Below are 24,882 nucleotides of genomic sequence, written 5' to 3'. Positions count from 1 at the left end.
GCAGAAAATGCCCTCTGTCCAAGACTTTGGTTGCATGACTGTTTGGAGTTTGATGGCCTGAAGGCAAGAAGAGATCAAACTAGTTATTAGAAAACATGTCTCAAAACAAGAAAAGGAAGGGTAAAGACAGCTCAAAAATCCTGAGGCCTTTTATCGGTTTGCACAGGGAGAGGGAGGCCAAAATCCTGACTTGTCAAAAACTTTAACCTTTTGCTGGCATGTTGGGCTTCTGAGTTCCCTTTCCCTGTGCCCAATCATAAGCCAACCAGTCTGAGTTTTGGGAAATTAACTCTTCCCTGTCTGGAGGATGCACCTGAGGGTAGTATGCTATAGTACAGAGACACAATTACCTACCAACAAAGAGAGGACAGAGGAGGAGAAATAAAAAAAGAAGACATTTTTTCAAAGCAGTCCTAGTAGTTCAGGATGCATTTGAAAGGGATACAGGGATGAATGGTTATTCATCTAGAAAAAGGGGAACAAGCATCCTTGGTTCCTTCACTTCCTAACAAATACCCAGGGTATGTGAGGGAGCGAAGGAAGAGCATCCTCTTTCCCTCTTCTGTCCTTGGATCCCTGAGCACCAGTGACCTTGGCAGGTGCCAGCCATTGGTGTCAAAGTGGCTTGCATCCATGAAACAGGGAGCACTTAGAGAATAAGAATGATCTACTCTCACCTATTCAAGTAGGGAATACCCCCTATGTTCAGTAGTTTTGAAGTTCCCTAGACCTCATTTATGCCATGGATACTAGTATGACCTTTAGCCATGAAACGGGAGGCTTGGTTTAATCAGCAGAAATTAGCCATGCTCACCTGTGCCATGCCTTTTAACCTCTGTTATCATCTTCCTCTGGATCTTCCTCAGATAAATCCTATTAAAGCTGAGCCCAGCCATGGGTTTGTATCCTCAGATATCTGTGAGTTGGGTGATCCTTTCCTCTTAAGGTCCCAAGACAAAGTTGGAGCTCCTGGGCCTGTTAGAAAGTGGCATTCTTTACTGACCACGGGTCAGAAATCCTGTGCAGGGACTGCATAGGCAAGGGTATTAGGCCAGATTTTTCCCAAGGTGCTTTTGTCAGCTCTGCAAGTCAAGCTCAATTCCTTAAAGGGAAGAACACCCTTCTAGTCTTTTTTATAAGCTTTGGTAAAACAACCAATTTCTCCAATTATGTCCTGTTGCAAAGCAAAATGGATTCTTATTGCACTGATGCAAACAACTATATTGCTGTAAGTTGAGAAAACTCATAGATAGTTTTCAAATTCTATGGGAACCAGGCAGAGAGAAACAAAAATGCTCCAGATTTTATTCAAAGGTGTATACTATACTCAATTATCAAAGACTGTAAATAGTTCAAAATAAATTTCCTTGATTCTGAAAAACAAAACAAGGATTAGCAATATTCCATCCAAAAGTCCAAAAGTTTACTTCAGTTTCCTGAGTTCATTCAATTACCTCTTGTTTTGCTTTATATTTCTGAACCTTTTAGCTCTTCATGAGTCCTGTACATTTTTCCTTTATTCCAATATTACAAACTCCAAAGTTATCAGAAACCTGTATTTGAGAGCACCTTCAATGCTCCATAGCTTATTATAAATTATCTTTTGAGAAGGATTAAAATAAGACAACAGTTCTCTGTGAATAACAAAATGTCCAGGACAGTTACAGTTAGAAACACAATTGACAAAGACATTTGGTTATCCCTGCGGTTTACAATAACTTAACAAAACCTTAATTATCATTGATAGTCTATGCTTAGACATTCGAATTTTAGAAATCCCATGCAATTTTGGAACAAATTAGTACTATTCAACAAAATATAAACTAAAAAAGATTGAATATCATTTTGGCAACCTCATGTAACTAAATATGTCAAATAATTCTGTTTACCTCTTTTCTGCATGTTCCAAGGGCTTTCTGAACCATCCAAAAAGCCAGGCATCAGGAAAGACAATTTTGAAACTGAAGTTTGATTTGGGGAAGCCTGATAAATATGTTAAATATTTAAAATACTTGATGTTATGAAATAGAATTCCAGATTGCCATAATTTATTTATTTTGTCAAAGTGATGACTCAAAAACTTAAAAAGCGAAAAATCATTTATAATCCTTTATAAATTTTGCCAAAGAGCATATTAGTATCTTAAGAGTACCTTGTTGTGTTTTTATTTCAATGCTCAATTTACATAAAAACCATATAATACCCTTTTGCATTTAGTCAACATGTTTATACATGGAATTTTTGCAAGGCTAATTTTTACAATTCTTCCACCACTAGTTTGAACTTTTAGCTTTATCTTATCTAATTTAAGACAATTCTTTAACCCTTGGCAAGAATTTACATTTTTATGCCTTCTGACATGGTTTGGCTGTGTGCCTACCAAAATCTCATCTTGAATTCCCATGTGGCATGGGAGGGACCCAGTGGGAGGTAATTGAGTCATGGGAGCAAGTCTTTCTCATGTTGTTCTCATGACAATGAGTAAATCTCATGAGATCTGACGGTTTTAAAAAAGGGCAGTTTCCCTGCCCTTTTTTTGTCTTTTGCTTTGTCTTTGTCTTTTGCTTTTGCTTTGTCTTTGTCTTTTGCTTTTGCTTTGTCTGCTGCCACCCGTGTAAGACATGACTTGCTCCTTTTTGCCTTCCACCATGATTGTGAGGCTTCCCCAGCCAGGTGGATCTGTAAGTCTAATAAACTTCTTGCTTTGGTAAATTGCCCAGTCTCAGGTATGTCTTAATCGGTAGCTTGAAAATGAACTAATGCACTTCTTATAACCTTTTGCTAAGAAAACATTTTACTGTTCTTACACACCTTGCATGTAAATCTATTTCTAGTATCTCAGTTATCTGTCATAAGGGTAACCTTTAGCAATTTTTAACTTTAATGTAAAACCTGGTAAGTTGTTTTGATTATGTGTTAGGTGCAGCCAAGGTCTGACTCCTTCCAGCATTGGTAAGGGTGTGGTTAGTTCCATATGTTCCCCAGGTCTTACTAAGTTGAACCGTTCTCAAAAAGCAAAAAGCAATTTATAACCTCAAAACATTTAGCAAACCTTGCACCTGACCTGCATAATTTAGTTCACCTATTTACATTTTGATAACATCTGCATTTTACCAATAACCTTTAAGGCTGTTTTTTATTTCCCAAGGATTAAAGTCATGTGAACTGAAAGGTACCATAGCTTTTATCTTCCCTTTTAAAAAGTACCTGATCCAAGTGCTTATCTTCCTTTAGGCCAATTAATCAGCACTCTTTTATAGACATCACATACAACATATACATAATGACACAGACAAGCAGAAGAAAGCCCAGTCACTGGGTGGAGCCCTTTAAGGAACAGGGCTAGGAAAACATGCAGATATCAAACCAGAGAGGACTCATTTCCTAAGCCAGGATTGAATCCAGGCCCTGTGGAAGCTAAACAAAGCCTTGCCACAGGGTTACAGGCCATGCCCCTAGGACATAAAACAAGATGGAGGCCTGAAGCAGAGTTTTCTGGGGACCATACAAAAAGACATGCAAAGCACACCAGAGTGGCTACAGCTTAAGACTAGCCTCACAAATCCTTTTTCACAAAACTCTACGGAGAATATAAACAGTGATCCTTATCATTCCTAGCCCAGTAAAACATCTTCTGGAAAAAAAAAAAAAAGATCATTTAAAAGTCAACTTCTGACCCAATAAAAGAAAGGAAGGAAAAAAAAATCTATTAAAAAAAAAAAACACACACAGTTTAAAAATGCTGCCTGGGGAAGAACCTCTTATTCTTACCCAAATGATTTCTCTAACCTGGAGAGAAGCTTAATTGCTGTGGGACAAAGTTGGATTCCCTGGCAGGGGTGGTGGGGTACAAGGAGGGGAATGTGCATAAGTGCATGGCAGGGAATGCCACCCAGCCTGCTGTTGGGCACCCTTGAGCCATGCATTCTAGCCCTGGCCAGGAGGGGAGCAAGGAGCTGCCATTTCCCAGTCTGTCCCACGCGCAGCTACAGCCCTTGGGGCACAGTTTTTTCTACCTTCAGATGTCTGAGGAGGAAAAGGCTTAGAAGCAAAAGTAAAAAGGTTTTCTCTCTTTTTTTTTTTTTTTGCAGCTCACTTACCTTCTCTCATGCCCCATGTCTGGACTCCAAAAAATGTTGTAGGACTTTCTCCTTAGTTCAGCAGCTAAAGATGAGATTCTTGTCACACTACCATGAAAGATTAGGCTTGTAGACACTTTGAAGGATGAGAAGGGCAGGTTTTATTTGATGAAAAGGAGAAAAAAAAAGGAAACAGGGACACTCATCAAAGCAAGAGTCCTGCTAGCTGGCTTCCCATCTATTAGATTAAATCCCTGGTTACCACTCAGGAACAAGAAGGTCCAGGCTCCTTTCCCCAGCTAATGATGCAAACTTCCACGGCTCCACCCTGCTCTCCCAGTGCGCAGGCCAATTGGAGGTTCTCTGGGGACCCCTTTATAGTTAGCTGTCTCAATTACACACCGATTAGAATGGTAAAATTCTAGAATCCTGACAGCATTGAATAGTGGCAAGAATGTGGGGCAACAGGAGCTCTCATTCATTGCAAGTAGCAAGGCTAAATGGCACAGCACAGCGACTGCCCCCACTCCCGCAAAATTTGTTGGTTTCTTACAAAAATAAGCACACTCTTATCATATAATTAAGCAACCACAGTCTTTGATATTTATCCAAGTGAGCTGAAAACTTAGGTTCATACAGACTCTTACACATGGATGTTTATAGTGGGTTCATTCGTAATCGCTAAACTTGGAAGCAACCAAAATGTCCTTCAGTAGTTAAACAGATAAATAAAATATGGTATGTCCAGACAATGGAAGGCTATTCACTGCTAAAGAAATGAGCTATCATCGTATTTTAAAAACTGATGAAACATAAATGCATATCACTAATCTAAATAAGTTTATCTCAAAGTTTATCTGGAATCACACAGTATGTATGATTCCAACTGTATAGCATTCTGGAAAAACCAGTGCTATGGAGACATTAAAAAGATCAGTGATAGCAAGGGTTTAGTGCAAAGGAAGAGATAAATAGGCAGAGTACAGAAGATTTTTATGGCTTTGAAACTACTCTGGATGATACTAATGGTGAATGTACATCATTACATGTTTGTTGAAACCCATAGGATGTACACCAAGAATTAACCCTTAATAAGCTATGGAGTTTGGATGATAATGATGAATTAATGTAGGTTCATCAGTTGTAACAAATGTACCACTCTGATGGGGTATGTTAATAACGGGGAAGGCTGTGCATGTGTGGGGGTACGGTATAATGGGAAATCTCTGTACCATTCACTCAATTTGCTGTGAACCTAAAACTGTTCTAAAAATGAAGAAAAAATAAATTATGTTTTCTCCCAATTGCTGAGAATGTTTTTGCATGTCATAGGTCTTCAATTAATGTTTGATAGTAAATAAAACAAAATTGAATAAGGCATTCTTGTTTTTCTATATGTGGAATATTGGTGTTTTCATAGAAGACAAAGAGAAGCAAAATTTATTTGCCTGTAACTCTTGTGTTTGGGGAAAATCAGGCCAATATAGATAATAGATGGTGATTTTTATAACTCCACATGAATCGCTGGTGGAAAAATGTAAGGGATATGGCCTAACAGAACCACTGGGTAGAAATGTGCAGTGCTTCTCTGACTACGCACCTCTCTTAAAAATAATAAAAATGAAAACTAATGAAAAGAAAAGGACGTTTGTGTAAATAGGACATCATTTTTGCTTTCCTCTCTTGAAACATGTTAATATGACTAAGAGAAACCTTAGTTCTTTATAATTCCAGGGTGGCTCATCCTGAAAGAAATAACACTGAAGGAAATCAAGATAGGAGGAAAAGCAGTATATAATTTAACTTGATTTATTTTTCTATCCTTTTCATTTATTAAAGAACAAATACACATTCAACTTGCAAATACTCATATTATACTCTTAATAAAAATCGAATTTTTCCTGTAGGAGAATAATTGAATGAGAGAAAATATGGAAATATCTGATGTGCCAGATATCCATCCCATTTATTCCTGCAAGTCAAAAGACTGTTGTTGTTTTTTTTTTGCCAGAAATACTATGTTGAGACCAAGTACATTATTAATGATTAGTTAAAAATAATTGTACAGCAATGGTTTCCCTGCTAAATACCATTCTCTGCTTTGCTATATGAATTACCTCAAATATTTTCCACTTGCTAAAACATAGAACTCTTTTCTTACAAAGTTTGGAAGTAAATTTTAAAGACAGTGAATGGAATTGCGCACACGTGCACGCGCGCGCGCACACACACACACACACACATACACACACACTCAGAGTGGAAAGTCCTGAATAAAAATGTTAGTCATTGTGATGAAACCTGACTTTCATGTTCAACTGTATATAGAAGCAATGGATGATATGACCCTAGGTGATTGCTAAAGCGGGAGGTCATTGGTCATTTCAGGTGAGCAAAATCATTGATTTGATATACTATTTCTTACCTAATGAATGTCTAATTCCCAATTCTCTGATAGCTCCACATCTCTCATTTCTTTCAGAATATGAAGCAAGAGATGATAATGTGTCAATTTCTAATGCAACAAGCAGATATTGCAGCTCAGCCTCTTTTACGTAAGAATCACAATATTGCATTGGTTCTAACTTCTCCATGAGGTTACTGATTTTATGTTACTAGCCAGACAGGTGAGCTCAGTGCTCTAAGAGAGGTTTTTGTTTTTTTGTTTTATTGTTTTTCCTGTACAGCTAAAATTAAAACTAGTATCCAAGTACAACTACTGTTCTACCAAATGGTTTATATACATACCTAGTTTTAACGTGAGGATAAAAATCTTATGCTGAGCATTATTGGCTAATAAATATCAGGATTTGGTTCCAAATAAACTCAACTTCACATGCCCATAACTCTTTGGTATTCACTTTTTTTTTCAATTTTACTTTAAGTTCCAGGATACATATGCAGAGTGTGCAGGTTTGTTACATAGGTATACATGTGCCATGGTGGTTTGCTACACCTAAAAACCCATCGTCTAGGTTTTCAGCCTTACATGGATTAGGTATTTGTCCTAATTCTCTCCCGCCCATTGCCTTCCACCCCCTGAAAAGCCCTGGTGTGTATTGTTCCCCTCCCTGTGTTCGTGCGTTCTCATAGTTCTACTCCCGCTTATGATTGAGAACATGCAGTGTTTGGTTTTCTGTTCCTGTGTTAGTTTGCTGAGGATGATGGCTTCCAGCTTCATCGATGTCCCTGCAAAGGACATGATCTCATTCTTTTTTATGACTGCATAGTATTCCATGGTGTATATGTACCACATTTTCTTGAACCAGTCTATCATTGACGAGCATTTGGGTTGATTCCATGACTTTGCTAATAGTGCTGCAATAAACAAAATTGTGCATGTCTTTATAGTGGAATGATTTATATTCCTTTGGGTATATACCCAGTAATGAGATTGCTGGGTCAAATGGTATTTCTGGTTCTAGATCCTTGAGGAATCACCACACCATCTTCCACAATAGTTGAACTAATTTACAATCCCATCAAAAGCATAAAAGCTTTCCTATTTCTCCACAGCATCACCAGCATCTATTGTTCCCATACTTTTTAATAATCACCATTCTTACTGGTGTGAGATCGTATCTCATTGTGGCTTTTATCTGCCTTTCTCTAATGATCAGTTATGATGAGCTTTTTTTTTCAATATGTTTGTTGGCCACGTGAATGTTTTCTTTTGAGAAGTGTCTGTTCATATCCTTTGCCCACTTTTTGATGAGGTTGTTTTTTTTTCTTGTAAATTTGTTTAAGTTCCTTGTAAATTCTGGATATTAGACCTTTGTCAGATGAATAGATTGAAAAAATTTCCTCCTATTCTGTAGGTTGCCTGTTCACTCTAATGTCAGTTTCATTTGCTGTACAGGAGCTCTTTCATTTAATTAGATGCCAATGGGTCAATTTTGGCTTTTGTTGCAATTGCTTTTGGTGTTTTAGTTATGAAGTCTTTGCCCATGCCTATAACCTGAATGGTATTGCCTAGGTTTTCTTCTAGGGTTTTTATGGTTTTGGGTTTTACATTTAAGTCTTTAATTCATCTTGAGTTAATTTTTATATAAGGTGTAAGGAAGGGGTCCAGTTTCAGTTTTCTGCATATGGCGACCCAGTTTTCCCAGTGCCACTTATCAAATAGGGAATCCTTTCCCCATTGCTTGTTTTTGTCAGGTTTGTAGAGAAGATCATATTGTTGTAGATGTGGTGGTGTTATTTCTGAGGTCTGTGTTTGTTCCATTGGTCTATATGTCTGTTTTGGTAGCAGTACCATGCTGTTTTGATTACTGTAGCCTTGTACTATAGTTTGATGTCAGGTAGTGTGACTCCTCTAGCTTTGTTCTTTTTGCTTTGGATTGTCTTGGCTATATGGGCTCATTTTTGGTTTGATATGAAATTTAAAGTAGTGATCTTCTAATTCTGTGAAGAAAGTCAGTGGTAGTTCAATGGGAATAGCATTGAATCTATGTATTGCATTTGGCAGTATGGCCATTTTCATGATACTGATTCTCCCTATCCATGAGCAGGGAATGTTTTTCCATTTGTTTGTGTCCTCCCTTATTTCCTTAATCAGTAGCTTGTAGTTCTCCTTGAAGAGGTCCTTCACATCCCTTGTATGCTTTGTTCCTAGATATTTTATTCTCTTTGTAGCAGTTGTGAAAGGAAGTTCACTCATGATATGGCTCTCTGCTTGTCTATTGTTGGTGTATAGAAATTCTTGTGACTTTTGCATGTTGATTTTGTATCCTGAGACTTTACTGAAGTTGCTTATAAGCTTAAGGAGTTTTTGGGCTCAGATGCTATGGTTTTCTAAACACAGAATCACATCAAATGCAAACAGAGACAATTTGATCTCATCTATTCCTATTTGAATACCATTTATTTCTTTCTCTTGCCTGATTGTCCTGGCCAGAAATTCCCAAACATTGTTGAATGGGAGTGGTGAGAGAGAGGATCTTTATCTTGTGCCGGTTTTCAAAGGGAATGCTTCCAGCTTTTGCCCAATCAGTATGATGTTGACTATGGGTTTGTCATAAATAGCTTTTATTTTATTGAGATATGTTCCATCAATACCTTGTTTATTGAGAGTTTTTAACAAGAAGGGATGTTGAATTTAATCAAAGGCTTTTTATGTGTCTATTAAGATAATTATGCAGTTTTTGTCATTGGTTTTGTTTAAGTGATGGATTACCTTTATTGATTTGCTTATGTAGAACCAACCTTGCATCCCAGAGATGAAGCCTACTTGTTCATGGTGGATAAACTTTTTGATGTGCTGCTGGATTCAATTTACTAGTATTTTTTGAGGATTTTCACATTGATATTCATCAGGGATATTGGTCTAAAGTTTTCTCTTTTTGTTGTGTCTCTGCCAGGTTTTGGTATCAAGAAGATGCTGGCCTCATAAAATGAGTTAGGGAAAAGTCTCTATCAATTTTTTGGAATAGTTTCAGAAGGAATGGTACCAGCTCCTCTTTGTACCTCTAGAATTTGGCTGTGAATCTGTCTGGTCCTGGGAATTTTTTTGTTGGTAGGCCAATAATTACTGTCTCAATTTCAGAACTTGCTATTGGTCTATTCAGGGATTTGACTTCTTCCTGGTTTAGTCTTTGGATGGTATATGTGTCCAGGAATTTATCCATTTCTTCAGGTTTTCTAGTTTATTTACATAGAGGTGTTTATGGTATTCTCTGATGGTATTTTGTATTTCTGTGGGATCAGTGGTGATATACCCTTTATTATTTTTTAGTGTGTCTTTTTTATTTTTCTGTCTTTCTTTATTGCGTCTTTTTGACTTTTTGGTCTTTCTTTATTGTGTCTTTTTGATTTTTCTGTCTTTCTTCTTTATTAGTCTAGCTAGTGATCTATCTATTTTTTACATTTTTTCAAAGAACCAGCCCCTGGATTCATTGATTTTTTTAAGGATTTTTCATGTCTCTATCTCCTTCAGTTTTGCTCTGATCTTAGTTATTTCTTGTCTTCTGCTAGCTTTTGCATGTGTTTGCTCTTGCTTCTCTAGTTCTTTTAATTGTTATGTTAGGGTGTTGATTTGAGATCTTTCCAGCTTTCTGATGTGGCCAATTAGTGCTATAAATTTCCCTCTAACACTACTTCAGCTGTGTCCCAGAGATTCTGGTACATTGTCTCTTTGTTCTTATTGGTTTCAAAGAACTTCTTGATTTCTGTCTTAATGCTATTATTACCCAGGAGTCTTTACACATGAGATAGGTCTCCTCGATTCAGCACATCGATAGGTCTTGACTCTGTCCAATTTTCCAGGCTGTGTCTTTTAACTGGGGCATTTAGCCCATTTACATTAAGGTTAATATTGTTATGTGTGAATTTGATTTTGTCATCATGATGCTAGCTGGTTATTTTGCACATTAGTTGATGCAGTTTCTTCATAGCGTCATTGGTCTTTATATTTTGGTGTGTTTTTGCAGTGGCTGGTACTGGTTTTTCCTTTCCATATTTAATGCTTCCTTTAGGAGCTATTGTAAGGCACGCCTGGTGGTGACAAGATCCCTCAGCATTTGCCTGTCTGGAAAGGATTTTATATCTCCTTCATTTATGAAGCATTGTTTGGCTGGATATAAAATTCGGTTTGAAAATTACTTTACTTAAGAATGTTGAATATTGGTCTCCATTCTCTTCTGACTTGTAGGATTTCTGCTGGGAGATCCACTGGCATAGGTTACTATGCATCAAAGAAAGTAAAACCTTATTGAAAGTGAAGCTGACAGGTTGCTCTTTAATTGACTAACTAATGAGGCATATTTTCTTGGTGAGAGAGAAAATTTAGAAAGAATCTTTTAAATATTTAAATCACTGACAAGCCAACAACAAATGTTGTGTTACGTTAGTGTAACTAATTTAATTTGTTTTTTGCAATTAAAGAGAATTTCATCTACTGCACAAAAAGTTTTAGATCACCAGCTTTACTTTTTTTTTGTAGTCCAGTAGCCCTTATTTAGCACTTTTTGTCTATCCATGCACTTTTAAGTTAATTCATTAATAGAAAGTGGACACAATATATGTAACAAATGAATTGGAGGCAAAGAAGCAGCTGATTGTATAACACACATTATGTAACTTGTTAATAAGTGAAGGGAAGTTAATTGCATGTGATGGAATTAGACTAGCAATAGTATGATTTCAGAGGTATTGGTGAAGGTATGACATTAATTCTGGGAGGTGGAGATTCATGTAGGTATCATCTGGTTTCTAGCACTGATGCAGAACTATGCTGTCACACATTTTCTAGAATTCATTTCAACATTTATTTCTCCATTTAAAAGAGTGAATTTTACTATTGTGCTGGCTTATTTAACTTGAAATTCAGTTGAAAGAAGTAAGACTCCTTCGATATTGAATGGTTTTCTTTCCTCTCAAAATTGATTTTCAGAAATGGGAAACGGAAAAATAGCCAACAACAACTCATAACTAAAAAAACTATAATGAAATAATTTTGAAGTTTGTATGACACGGCAGCCCAACGTTTTTCATTGTCTTCTTGCTTCATGGGCAACTAGTCACAGGCCCATTAGCATATAAAAACAATATTGATATGCATTGCTACATAGTTTTCTCTACAGTTAAGTGTCATATGCATAAATTCACTCATGTATACTGACATCATTTGAATATTAATGTTAAATGTAGATGCTCATTTTCAATTGTAATGTGGGTTAATATTTTGTAAATCTATTTTCTCAGATATTAATGAATTTTATACAAAACTTAGTGTTCTTTGGCAAATGTGTGAACTTAGTTGTAAATGCTGCAATCTGCTCAAATATCTTATTTGAAAAAGTTTGCATGTGCTTTTTTTTTCCTTTTTTTGTTTTTACAGAAAAATAGCTTACCTGCTGTCTATTTTGGGTTTGATTTTAAAGTAGTTTCCTCTCCTGAAAATGATATTTTAGTCATAGATAATAATGTGAATGAGCTACAAGTTCACTTCTAATTCACCAGTCTTAGCTTCTCTTTGTAACTGTCCTTTTGCAAATGAGAAATTGAAATATTGGTAGTGATAATAGAAATGACAATGACAGCTAAACAATTCTGAATGTTCACTCTTGGTCATCTGTGTCACTATGCTATTTACATATATTAAATAATATTTAAAATGACTAGATAAAGGAGGCGTTATTATTTGACAAATTTTACAGATGAAATGGAGGTTTGAAAAGTCAGGCTTCATAGATTTAGAATTGAGACAGTTCAGATGCTTAATCTACCATTCAACCTCTGGACACAAGTTTTATGTTGCAAAATGGAAATCATAATGACTGTGTCATAAAGTCATTGCAATGATAAAATATATTTTGTGACTGGTGAAGGATAAACATTTAATAAAGGGTTATTTTTATTATAGAGTATAAACCTTCTATCCATGATTTTGAACTTATTTTCTTCCATCTTCAGAACCTGGCTCTATTATTTCTGTCTCCTTTCATTTAAATCAGCAAATTTGGTCTATCCACTGGAATTTCTATTTTACAAATTTATTTTCATCTACTTTATAGTAAAACAAAAAAATATGTATTCTCAAAGCAACCCTGAATATTGCTCCACACCTCAAGTTATTCCACTTTTTCTTAACTACTAAATTATTAGGGTATCTTACCAAAGTAATTTACAATAACAGATAACACTTTCTCACTACCCATTCACTGAAGAAGTGCATTGCAGTTATCAAAATAATACATGTGTTAAACTTAAATGATACTAAGAGCATAAGATCAATACTAATATTGATTAAAACAAAAATCTTCAGCCAGCCCACTCCAAGCTCCAGCCAGTGGAGGTCTGTGCCACACAGGTAAACTCATTTAAATTACTTACTGATTTATTCTTGTATTTACTGCCATTTTGCCAAATAATATAATGCTATTATTGATTATGTCTCATAAATAATTATCTATTTATTTCATACTGTTTTATGAGTATACTGTTGTCTAATTCTACCCCATGCACAGTCATTTTTACCTTCCTTCATTTTCTCAATATATTAAAAGACACTGAAAAAGCCTTTTCATCCCAGTTAAAAAACAGAAACAAAAACAAATAATCTATCTGCTTTATCTCCTTTTGAAGCTGCTTCCATCTGTCCTGGGTGAACTCTAACCAGCTGCACATCCCAAGACGGAGGCATTTCCTCACCAACATCCATCTTCTAGTCTTCATCTTCTGGTGTTGGGTTCCTAGTTTTCTGTATTTTATGTCTTTGTAATTTAAACTTACTTTCCCTTTTGTAGGATGCTTAGCTTGCAGTAGTTTCTTGAGAAAGCCTACATGGAAAGTAAGGTTTTTGTAAAGCCCTGCAAAGAGAAAAATAATTGTTGTCTCAATCGTGGTCGTCTCTTCGTTATGGAGTTCTAAATTGATAATTGATTGTTATCAGCATTCTGAAGGCATAAACTAATGATGTTATGTCTCAGTATTAATCTTAAGTAGTCTGGAAATATTCCATTCCATTGCATGAAATCTGGTTTTTGTTTTTTCTCTTTGCTGCTTTTACAATTATTTTCTTTATTCCCATTGTTTCTAAAATTTTAGAATTATAGTCTTTGAATGAATCACCTTTTTATTTGTGATAATAGACACTTGGTGGAATCTTTTAATTTGGGCACAAATATTAATGATTTGGGATTTTAAAAAATAATATTCTCCTATTTATTTTATCTGCTCACACTTTCACACTTTCTTTTCTTTTTTCCCTTTTTTTTTTGAGACAGAGTCTTGCTCTGTCACCCAGGTTAGAGTACAGTGGCACAATCTCAGCTCACTGCAGCCTCCGCCTCCCAGGTTCAAGTGATTCTACTGCTTTAGCCTCCCAAGAAGCTAGAATTACAAGCGTGTGCCACCATATCCTGCTATTTTTTTTTTTTTTTTTTTTTTTTTAGAAGAGAAGGGTTTTCACCATGTTGGCCAGACTGATCTCGAACTCCTGACCTCAAGTGATCCACCTGCCTCAGTCTCCCAAAGTGCTGGGATTACAGGCATGAGCCACCGCGCCTGGATATGCTCACACTTCCTAAAATACATATAGTTGGAAATTGGATTTCCTACTATAATAGTTTATTTTTCTTTTCTATTTTCTATTTCTTCCTTTCCCCTTTTTACTTCCTAGGAGATATCTCAACATCATTATGTTGTAGGCTTTCATAAAATGTCTATTAATCCTTGGCTGTTGATTCACAATTTAGAGTGAAACATTAAAAGCTTAGTGGGACTCTATGTTTATTTATGTGTATAGATGGATGAAAGGGCTTGTTGAACGATGGACTTCTTTCATAATGAAGTTCTATTGTGGAACACCAAATTGTTTATTAGTGTAGTTTTTGTTTCGGTTATTTTTTATTTTTTGTTTTTTCACTTTGTTGGTTTGTTTTTAATCTTTTTAAGCCAGCCAGTTTCTACAGAGATGAATTTTCAAATCTCTGGCCTTGTTCTATATATCTGTATGCATTATTACTGATTTTTGAAGAAAAAGAGTCAGAGCTGTAATATATAATGTGTAGTTTTATGTCCTTTCTGATGGTCACGACAGTTTTTGCCCTCACTCTCGCCCTCAGCACTCAACACTGCTATCTCCAGTGTTCTTGAAACTAGGATTACTTTAACTCAATTTTTGCTGAGAACAACATTCCTCAATCACCTTTCCAAGAAGGGATATTCATATATCTATATGGTTTGGAAAGGGTATTTGGATAATAACTCCTCCTTCAGTAAAATGTTAACAACTAAATCTTAATCCCATCTTCTTGAGGTACTTGGCATTTCTATTCCAGGAAACATCCAGTGGGTTTCTGTTGCACAGACATCTTGCTTCTTCATGTCATCCTCCTATGCAGGCACTTAACTCTCAGCTTTCTCTATGCTATAGGTAATTACCCCTCATCTTTCTTTCTGTCTCTGGAAAACTTGTTACACTTCTCACCCACTGTCATCTCCTCTTTAGTATTCTATGTAGTTTTAGGTTTATACATTTATATTTTATCACTGTCATTTCAAATTATGAGAAGAATCAGAGAAAAGTACATATTCCAATTTTCATGCTTAATGATTCCCCTCAATTCTTGACCATTGTCTTCATGAAATCTCCCTTTGCTGTCTCACACAAGGCCTACTGATGACCAAGTCTAATGATCTCATTTAAGCTTGTTTCTCCTCAAATTAATTATATTTGCCAAATTTTCATTTATTTCCTGAAAGTCTTCCCCCCCACCCCTTGGTTTTCATGGTGGTATTCTCTATGTTTTTCTCAAAAATCTGCTTCTCTCCAATTACATCTTAAATTTGTTGACAGGACAGGAATAGAAAGACTTTAGCCTATTTGTAATCCCAATGTATCTATGCTGTATTATTAAATCTCCATGAGGGTTTGGCATTGCTACTCTTTAAAACCAGCCCAATCCTCCAAGGAGAGATAATTATTGATCTATATGCACTGTTCCTTGGGTTCTAGTTGGTAAAATTTAGAGATAAACTTTATAGTAATCCTTCTATAGTTATCTCATTTCTATGATTCCAAAATAACTCTACCTCATTTGTAATGTTTCTGACAGTGAGACAATTTTCCAATTCAGTAACATTCATACTTCTGGATTAGAAAAGAATAAATCAACCCATTTTCTTTAATGAGAGCAAAACTTTGAAACTGTCCTGAAGTAGAAAGAAGAAATTCCAGGCCATTACAATATCACAAGAATAACATAATAACTATAAAATGTGAATTAGGAAATAACAAAAAATTTGAATACCTAGACAACTCTGTCTACTGCTTCAGAAAAAAAAATGTTTGGTGATATTTGCCTCAAAATTTTCATTCTCTCAATTATTGTCATTGTTAGTTAATTTAAATATCTGTGGAGAGTGGACGTAAAACAAGCTAAATTAACCTAAGAAACATAAGCCAACTTTTGAATCAAAATTGCTTTGCTTTGCAATGTCTGTAAAATTGTGTATTTGTCTGACAATTTTTGGTAAATACATGTTTAAAACATAAAAAACCTTTTATAAATATGTCCATTTCAATTAATTTATTCTTATATCATCTGAAATATGCAATATTTGACAGATGTTAAATTACAGATACAACATGCATTTAAGACATTTAAGACTTCTACTTATATATTTTAAATAACTACATCATACCTAACCTGAACAGTACATAGAATAATGTGTTTCACAGAAAATGTATGATGGTGTTATAAGTTCATAATACTAACTGGTAATTGCTTTTTTGCTGTAAAAGTAAATAAAAATGTATGACTAAGCTATGGTTATTTAAATAATAATGCAGTGTTTTTTATCGTGTGACTGTTTTTAGAATTTGTTGTAAATGTAAACATACGTCAGATTTTTAAAGGTAGTTTCAGAACTACGCTCATTATGTGGATGCATTTGATATAAGCTGTAACATACAGCTTGATTATTAGAGAGAATGATTTGGCATTTTGTTTTCAGAACGGATTTATTTGACCAGAGAAATAGTGTCTGTGTTGGATTGTCTTCTTTTGCTGGTGGGGTTGTATTACCTGCAAAGAGATAAGAAAAATGCAGAAATATCTCTTTCTGTCCATTTAAGTCACATCAAGTACAAGAACATTTTGTAACTATAGAGGTACATTTTTTTACCATGTGAACAAATAAAATAAGTGTTTTAGACAAATTTATATTTATGTAAGCTCCTTGGAAATATTACTATCGCAGCCTTCATAGAAGGCCTGCAATTTGTTATATTTCTAATACATGACTCATGGTTTAGTTTATGGTTTGATACTTGTTATGGATAAAATGCATTTTTTGAAACAGAAAAGCTTTTTTATATGGAGTGTGTTTAGATGTCATGGTAGATAGATGGATGTCAAAGCCTGTTCACATACCTACTATCCATGAAGGAGAAAAGAAAAGAAGAAATCCCTTGCTGGCCATTACTTTTCATTTCTTTTTTTTCAGCTATTTTTCTACATCTTCTTTTCTTTTCAGTCTCTATTTCAGCTCCTTATCTTCTTACTCTGGAGTCCAACTGTCCATCCCTGTCCCTGAAATGTCATCTCTGAAGCCTCTTTTAATTGGCCCCCGGGCCCCAAGATATCAGAGCTGCCACCTCTTCATCTCATGATTCCTCTCTCAGCTTTCAGAAATAGTAGCATGTCCTTTATGCCCTATTCCTGATGATTTTCCACATTCTGTGGTCTGATAGGTGACTCCACAACTTCTGCAGACCTGTTCTCACCAAGGTCACCAGTGACTTCTAGCTGAGATATGCAGGGACTCTGTCTCTCTCTCCCCCTCCCTCGTTCCCTCCCTCTCTCTTTCTGTCTGTAACATTTGGTGACATTAATTATTTTCTTTGGAAACTCTATGATATCATACTAGTCTATTATTCTTTCCTACTTCTGTACCTAAATCATCAAATGCCACTTTTCAGTCAACTTTCCTGCTGGGATACACTCTTTATGGATTGGCATTCACTAAGTTACTGTTTTAGTCCCTCTTTTTTCTTTTTGTATTCATTTCTTTCATTCTCCTTCATTCTCCTAGTTGTTCACAAATATTTCTTAAATTGCTACATTATTCTACGTACTTAGTTATGGTAGATAAAAATATGGCATTGCCTTCAAGGGGTCATAGTCTAATGAAGAAGGCAAACAATACAAAGATACAATATTGTGTGATAAGTGTTAGCATTATGCATGTATATCCAGGAGGATTTATTTAAATTGTATTCCAGTTAACTCAATAAGAGTGACATCTGGGCCTAAGTTCAAAGAGTAGAGAAATAAATTACCAAATGAAACAGAATTAGAGTGACTGGATACAAGAGGAAAGCATTATACAAAGGTTGGTTGTACATGTGTAAATAACAGGATACTTTTTGTAACTACAAGTGGATTAATATTATTATACCATTGACCACATGTAAGAGTGATGTGAGAGATAAAAATTTAAGAGATAAGAAAAGATTAGAATATAAAAGTCCATTTATGCCATCACAAATAGTTTGGATTTTATCCCAGCGATGATTAATAACAACCTAACATTGTCAGGGTCAGCACTGATATTAGCTGATATTAAGTTATTGTTCTGGAGGGTATATTCTTTTTTTTTTTTTTGAGATGAAGTCTCACTCCGTTGCCCAGGCTGGAGTGCATTGGTACAATCTTGGCTCACTGCAATCTCCTCCTCCCAAGCTGGAGCGTATTGGAATGCAGTGAGACTAGATTTAGAAAGGCCAGCTTGAACTATTTCCATAGCCCAACCTGAAAAACGGCAGTGCGAGCAAACATAGAGTGGGGGCAATGGATTAAGGAAGACAGAATTTTCCAGGATTAACTGACCAGATTGTTCAGTGAGGAAATGTTCTAAAATAATTTCCAGATGTCTTGTTTTGCAGGTAGTAAGAAAATGCTGCATTCATTGGCAAATTAAAAACAGAACACAACGACTATGGCAGGTGTGTATGTGTGTGTGTGTGTACATTTGTGTGTGTTTCTCCTATTATTTTCCTTTTGTTCTCCACATATGGTCAAAGGTATTATGTATAGAGTGAATAAACTCCTTGTCTCTCACGAGTGATGAATCGGGAGTACCAAGTGTATTTATTTTGCATGTATCTTTAAATACTTCATGCCAAGGACTATCAGTATTCTCCACACTATTAGAAATAGAGTCCTTAGCATTTTTGAGGTCTGATTATATTAAGCAGCCAACTCCAGAAACCCCCAAACCAACAAAAGAATGCCATACTTAATATTCTGTTTCTCTAGAACCACTCTGGTTCCAACATCTGTATTAATCAGGGTTCTCTAGAGGGACAGAACTAATGGAATACATATATATATGAGTTTATTAATCAAGCATTAACTCACATGATCACAAGGTCTCCCAACAGGCTGTCTGCAGGCTGAGCAGCAAAGAGAGCCAGTCCGAGTTCCAAAACTGAAGAACTTGGAGTCCGATTTTTGAGGGCAGGAAGCATCCAGCACGGGAGAAAGATGTAGACTGGGAGACTAGGCCAGTCTCTCTTTACACATTTCTCTGCCTGCTGAGCACTAAAAGTGACTAATTTGTCACTTTGATCTTACATGAAAATTCTCCTACACTAAAAATTTCTATTTATTTGCCTTCTAGAAAATTACATTAAAAGTTATTCAAAAATAAGTCAAGAGGATTAACAGTAATTTTTAAGATACTTTGATTACAGAGTTGCCTTTAGAACTGATTCTCAATTTTTATGACTCTAAACTGAATTTCACTAAAATAATTTTAGTTATTATTTTTGCTCGTTGTTTGGGTAAAATTGTGACTGTCTATGATTTTGCATAAAATTAGTCTTAGTTATTAGCATTTGAATTTTAATTTCATTAAACTCAAGATAAATATACAAGAAAATATTCATTTTCTTATATCTTCACCAAATGGGATTCTACCTCTGTTTATAAAGTGCAGTTCATTCTGAATGCCATTCGTAATTTTATTTTATAATGGCAGAACTAGTTTTTTCTTTTTATAACCTTTAAAACAGATGTGTTATGGTAACAAAGTAACCATTTCTGCATTAGTCAAGACTATTATCACAGCAGATAACAGAAACCCAGCTCAAGTTGGTATATCACATACCTGGTAAATTGAGTTGGGGGACTTAGGCAAAGCTAGATGCAGAGTTTTGAATGATGACATCAGACTTTTGTATACTGCTGTGTTCACTTTTATTTTCTCCCTCTCTCTCTTTTTGTTCCTTCCCTTTATTTGCTTTCTTACCTATACCACATTTTATAAAAGGATATCCTCTCTTTTTGTGGTAGCAAGGTGGCTATGATTCTAGGGCAGTACAGATTATCCCTCTAAAGAGCACTCCCAAAATTTCTAGGGAGGAATTTGACTAGCTGTTTTAATTATATGATAGTTGTAAGATAACCACGTGCCCTGATTTGAGCCACGTGGTCATTTTGTGATGTGCAGTGGGCAGAGGTGATTCTAATTCAAATCAAAAGGGTTGAGAAGAATTAGCATGTCATGAGATAAACATAGTCCTTCAAAGGAAAATATGTCCATCACCACCTTTGAAGCAAGTCTGTTTCTCTTATGTCACATACCTTTCCATCTCATCTTTAGCTGTATATCTATGCAGGGTATAATGTTTAAGGGATCACTTGTTTAAACACATACGCACACACACACACACACACACATACACACACACACTACTTAGGCATTTATTTTCAATTTGTGTTTGCAATAAAAGCAGATCTAAATTAATATGTCTAGTTTTTGGCATCTACTATTAAATTTGGAAAAATAAAAGAAAAGAGAGAGAGAGATGGAGAGAGAGAGAAAGAGGTATACAGAATGAAAGGGAGGAAGAATTGATAGACAGCCACTTAAAATGATATTGAGAGTTTGGTTTAGAAATACTTCACAAGACTGATTTATCGTTGCATTTTTTGGCCAGAGGTATCAATATCTGAGATATCCAATTAAATATTTTTTAGAAAAAGTTTTGACTTAAATTTTTTTATATTAATAAAATTTTGTATGTAATACTTTTAATCAAATTCTACCCAAATTAAAATCTAGAAAACAATGTATACCTCAACACTTATAGTTTTGTTAATGCTAACATAATATGTAATTCTTCTTTCTAAATATTTTAATTACCCATCACTGTTAAATTTTCAGATTTGTGCCACTAAAAAAATATATATATCACGTGCACATTGTCTTAGAAGTACCGCGCGCTAACCAATTGCGCCACTGGAGCCACGCACATTGTCTGTTGATACATCTGCACTTATGTAGTCATAATGCATGTTTACTGGTTCATAACTACATCAGTTTCCCAATGTTCCTCATGTTTCTAATATTTCCTAATGTTCCTGATGGAAAAAATAGCATACCATTAGTGGTTTAAAACAAAATAAAATTGTTATCATACAGTTATCAGAATTAGAAGGCTTAAATGAGTCTTAAAGGACTAAAGTCAAGGTGTCTTCAGAGGTGCATTCATGTTAGAGGCTCTAAAAACCTAATCTGTACTAGAAGTTTCCAGCTTCAAGAGGCTGCCAGCATTTCTTGGCTCACAGTCACATCACTCATTCCTGTGGGTACGTTGTCACACCTCCTTTGTCCCTGGCCTCCTTCAATTTGATTACCTCAGGAACAGTGGAAAAATCCAAGATAAAACTTATCTCAAGATTCAAAATCTTAATCAAACCTGCAAAGTCCCTTTTGACAATTAAGGTAAAATAATTGTCACAGGTTCTGTTATTAGGACTTAAACACTAATAGGGATTGTTATTCTGCTTATTATAATAGCTAGTGCAAATCAAGTACTTTTGGCTACCTTAGAATTGCAAATATAAATTTCATCTGCAGAGTGAAGTACTAGTTTTACACATGTTGACGTTATAAACCTGACACCATAGCCTGCACTACAAATGAATTCCCAAATTGTTTGTTTTGATAAGTATTTATTGACCTCTCACTGTTTGCTATCAATTGTGCTATGTCATTTCAACTTCTCTCTTCTTTATTATTTCTTTCTTTATACTAATTTTGAATTTGGTTTATTCTTGATTTTCTAGGTCTTTGAGGTATATTGTTAGGTTGTTTACTTGAAGTCTTTCTAGGATTTTTAAAAATATAAGTGCTAATAACTATAAACTTCCCTCCTAATACTGTTTTTGCTATATCCCAGAAATTTTGGTATGTTGTGTTTCCGTTTTCATTTGTTTTAATACATTTTCAAAATTTCCTTTTAAATTTCTTTATGTACCTGTTGTTCATTTAGGAGCATGTTGTTTAATTTCTGTGTGTTTGTGTAGTTTCCAAGGTTCCCGTTCTTATTGAGTTCTGTTTATTCCGTTGTGGTTAGGAAATATACTTGATATGATTTTTTCTTCTTTTAATTTTTTTGACTTGTTTTAAGACCTAAGATATAATCTATTTGTGAAAATGTTTTATGTGCTGATAAAAAGAATGAATATTCTTCAGCAATTTGGTAAAATGTTCTGTCAATGTTAGTTAGATTTATATGGTCTAGTGTGTAGTTTAACCTTGATGGTTCTTTGTTGATTTTTCTGTCTGGATGATCTGTCCATTACTGAGAGTAGAGTGTTGATGTCCCCTACTAGTCTTGTATTACAGTCTATTTCTACTAATGTTTGCTTTATATACTCAGGTGCTCCAGTATTGGGTGCATCAATATTCATAATTGTCATACCTTCTTGCTGAATTGACCCCTGTATCATTATATGGTGATCTCTTTTGTCTATTTTTAGTCTTTGACTTTCATCAGTTATAAGTATAGCTACTCCTGTTGTTTTCTCATTTCCACTTGCATGAAATATCTTTTTCCATCCTTTCACTTTTAGTCTATGTACATCTTTGTAGGTGAAGAGGGTTTCTTGTAGGCAGTGTATAGTTGGGTCATGTTTCTTTATTATCAATTTGACCACTTTATATCTTTTAATTGGAAAATTGAGTCCATGTACATTCAGTGTTATTATTGATAAATAGCACTTTATACTGTTATTTTGTTGTTTGCTTTCTGGTTGCTTTGTAATTCCTTTTTTCATTTATGTTTTTCTTTGTAGTTAAGCTATGTTTCTCCAATATCATGTTTAATCATCTCTCTCAATATCAAAGCTCCCCAGATCCCTAGGGTAGAGCCAAAATGCTGTGAATCTCTTTGCATAGCAAGCATAACCTTTAGTGTAGTTCTCAAGATGTTCCTCATCTCCATCTGAGACCACTTCAGCCTGCACTTCATTGTCCATATCACTATCAGCATTTTGGTCAAAACCATTCAACAAGTCTCTAGGAAGTTTCAAACTTTCCAACATCTTCCTGTCTTCTGAGCACTCCAAGTCTCTAGGAGGTTCCAAACTTTCCCACATTTTCCTATCTTCTAACTGTTCCAACCTCTGCCTGTTACCCAGTTGCAAAATAGCTTCCACATTTTCTGGTATCCTTATAACAGTACCCCACTCTCTGCAGTACCAATTCACTGTATTAGTCTGTTCTCACACTGCTCATAAAGACATACCTGAGATTGGGTAATTTATATAGAAAAGAGGTTTAATTGACTCACAGTTCAGTATGGCTTGGGAAGCCTCAAGAAACTTAAAATCCTTGTGGAAAGGGAAGTAAACAGGTCCTTCTTCACAGGGTGGCAGTGAGGAGAAGTGCCAAGCCAAAGGGTAAAAGCCCCTTATAAAACCATTAGATCTCGTAAGAACTCACTCACTATTATGATAACAGCATGTAAGTAACTGGCTCCATGATTCAATTACCTCCCACCAGTCCCTCCCATGACATGTTGGAATTATGGGAACTACAATTCAATATGAGACTTGGGTGGGGACACAGCCAAACCACATCAGAAGGGGTCTTGCTATATTGCCAAGGCTGGTCTCAAACTCCTGGGCTCAAGTTATTCTTCCAACCTTGGCTTCTTGACAGACAGGGATTACAGGTATGATCCACATCTCTTGGAAAATAGAACTAATTTTTAATAAGTTTTCTACAGTGTGCCAGAAGGAATCAGTAACTGGCTGGTATGAAATGATCAATTATAACCATGTTGATCAAAAGTGTTTTTTTTTCAATTTTGTAATTTATCTATTTAAGCCTACTGTGGAATTCAGAAATCTAATAGCCAGTATAACTCTGTGAACATCAAATATCCATAATTTTTTACTCTCAAGGGCACTGAATCCACAGTGGCAAAATATCAAGGGGTAAACCAGAGTAAAAGATAATGGAATTTCCATCACCACTCTCTAATAGCAAAGATATGTAACAACACTAAAATAGGTATAAACATTATGAAGTTTAACCTAAAATATATAGAATATAGCTCACAAGTATGTTATCTACATTTGGACTGTCTGGTGTAGAATGATTAGGTGCAGGACAAATCAGAGAAAGAAGACACCAGTGGGGGGTTTCGTAGAAAGCCAGGGAGAGGTGGGATAGGTAAGGCCATGATTTGGCTGTAAAGAAAATAGAAGAATAAAGGAGAAAGGAAAACATGGGCAGAGAGCATCTCAGGGCAAAGAGAGACAGAATAGTGTCAAAACCAGGCCACTTTGACATACCTGAATCCAAGTAGCTCTATCAAAAAAAGTATAAATCTCTGAGTTTTTACTTTTGTTTTTAAAAAAATATTTTAAAGACTTTATTTTCTTATAGCAGTTTTTGGTTCACAGAAAAATTGAGAGGGTACAGAGATTTCTCAAACAACCCCTGCCTCCACACATGCATAGACTCCTTCATCATCAACATCCCCAACCTCAGTGGTACATTTGTTACAATTGATGAATTTTATTGACACATCATAATCACTCAAAGTCCAAAGTTTACATTAGGGTTTACTCTTGGTGTTGTGTACTCTGTGTGCAATGTATAATGTTATGCATCCAGCATTAGAGTATCTTACAAACTATTTTTACATCTCCCATAATCCTCTGTACTCTGCCTGTTCATTCCTTTCCACTTCCAATCCTTGGCAATCACTGATCCTTTTACTGTCTCCACAGTTTTGCCTTTTCCAGAATTTCATATAGTTGGAATCATATGGTAGGTAGGTAGCCTTTTTAGATAGGCTTATTTTGTTTAGTGATATGTATGTATCTATGTTCATTTGGAATAAAACGAATATTGATTTCTCAAAGTTCATTTGGAATAAAAATAAATAATGAAATAGCTTATTATATTTTAGTGCTAAATAATATTCCATTCTCTGGATGTACCACAGTTTATTTACTCATTTGCCTACTGGAGGACATCTCTTGGTTGCTTT

At 35.3% G+C, this 24,882-nt stretch overlaps 1 long non-coding RNA gene across 1 annotated transcript; it reads right to left on the bottom strand.

Moving 5' to 3' along the window:
* Window positions 1-820: 820 nt before the first annotated feature.
* On the bottom strand, window positions 821-4,390 carry LOC105377385 (uncharacterized). Its single transcript, XR_939098.1, has 3 exons — window positions 4,342-4,390; window positions 4,101-4,215; window positions 821-975 (listed from the first exon to the last, which is right to left on the bottom strand). It is a non-coding gene; the product is annotated as an uncharacterized LOC105377385 (long non-coding RNA).
* Window positions 4,391-24,882: the final 20,492 nt, after the last annotated feature.

The sequence above is a fragment of the Homo sapiens genome, chromosome 4 (assembly GCF_000001405.40).
Source record: "Homo sapiens chromosome 4, GRCh38.p14 Primary Assembly".
NCBI classification, from domain to species: Eukaryota; Metazoa; Chordata; class Mammalia; order Primates; family Hominidae; genus Homo; species Homo sapiens.
This window is presented reverse-complemented; position numbering and strand designations above follow the sequence as displayed.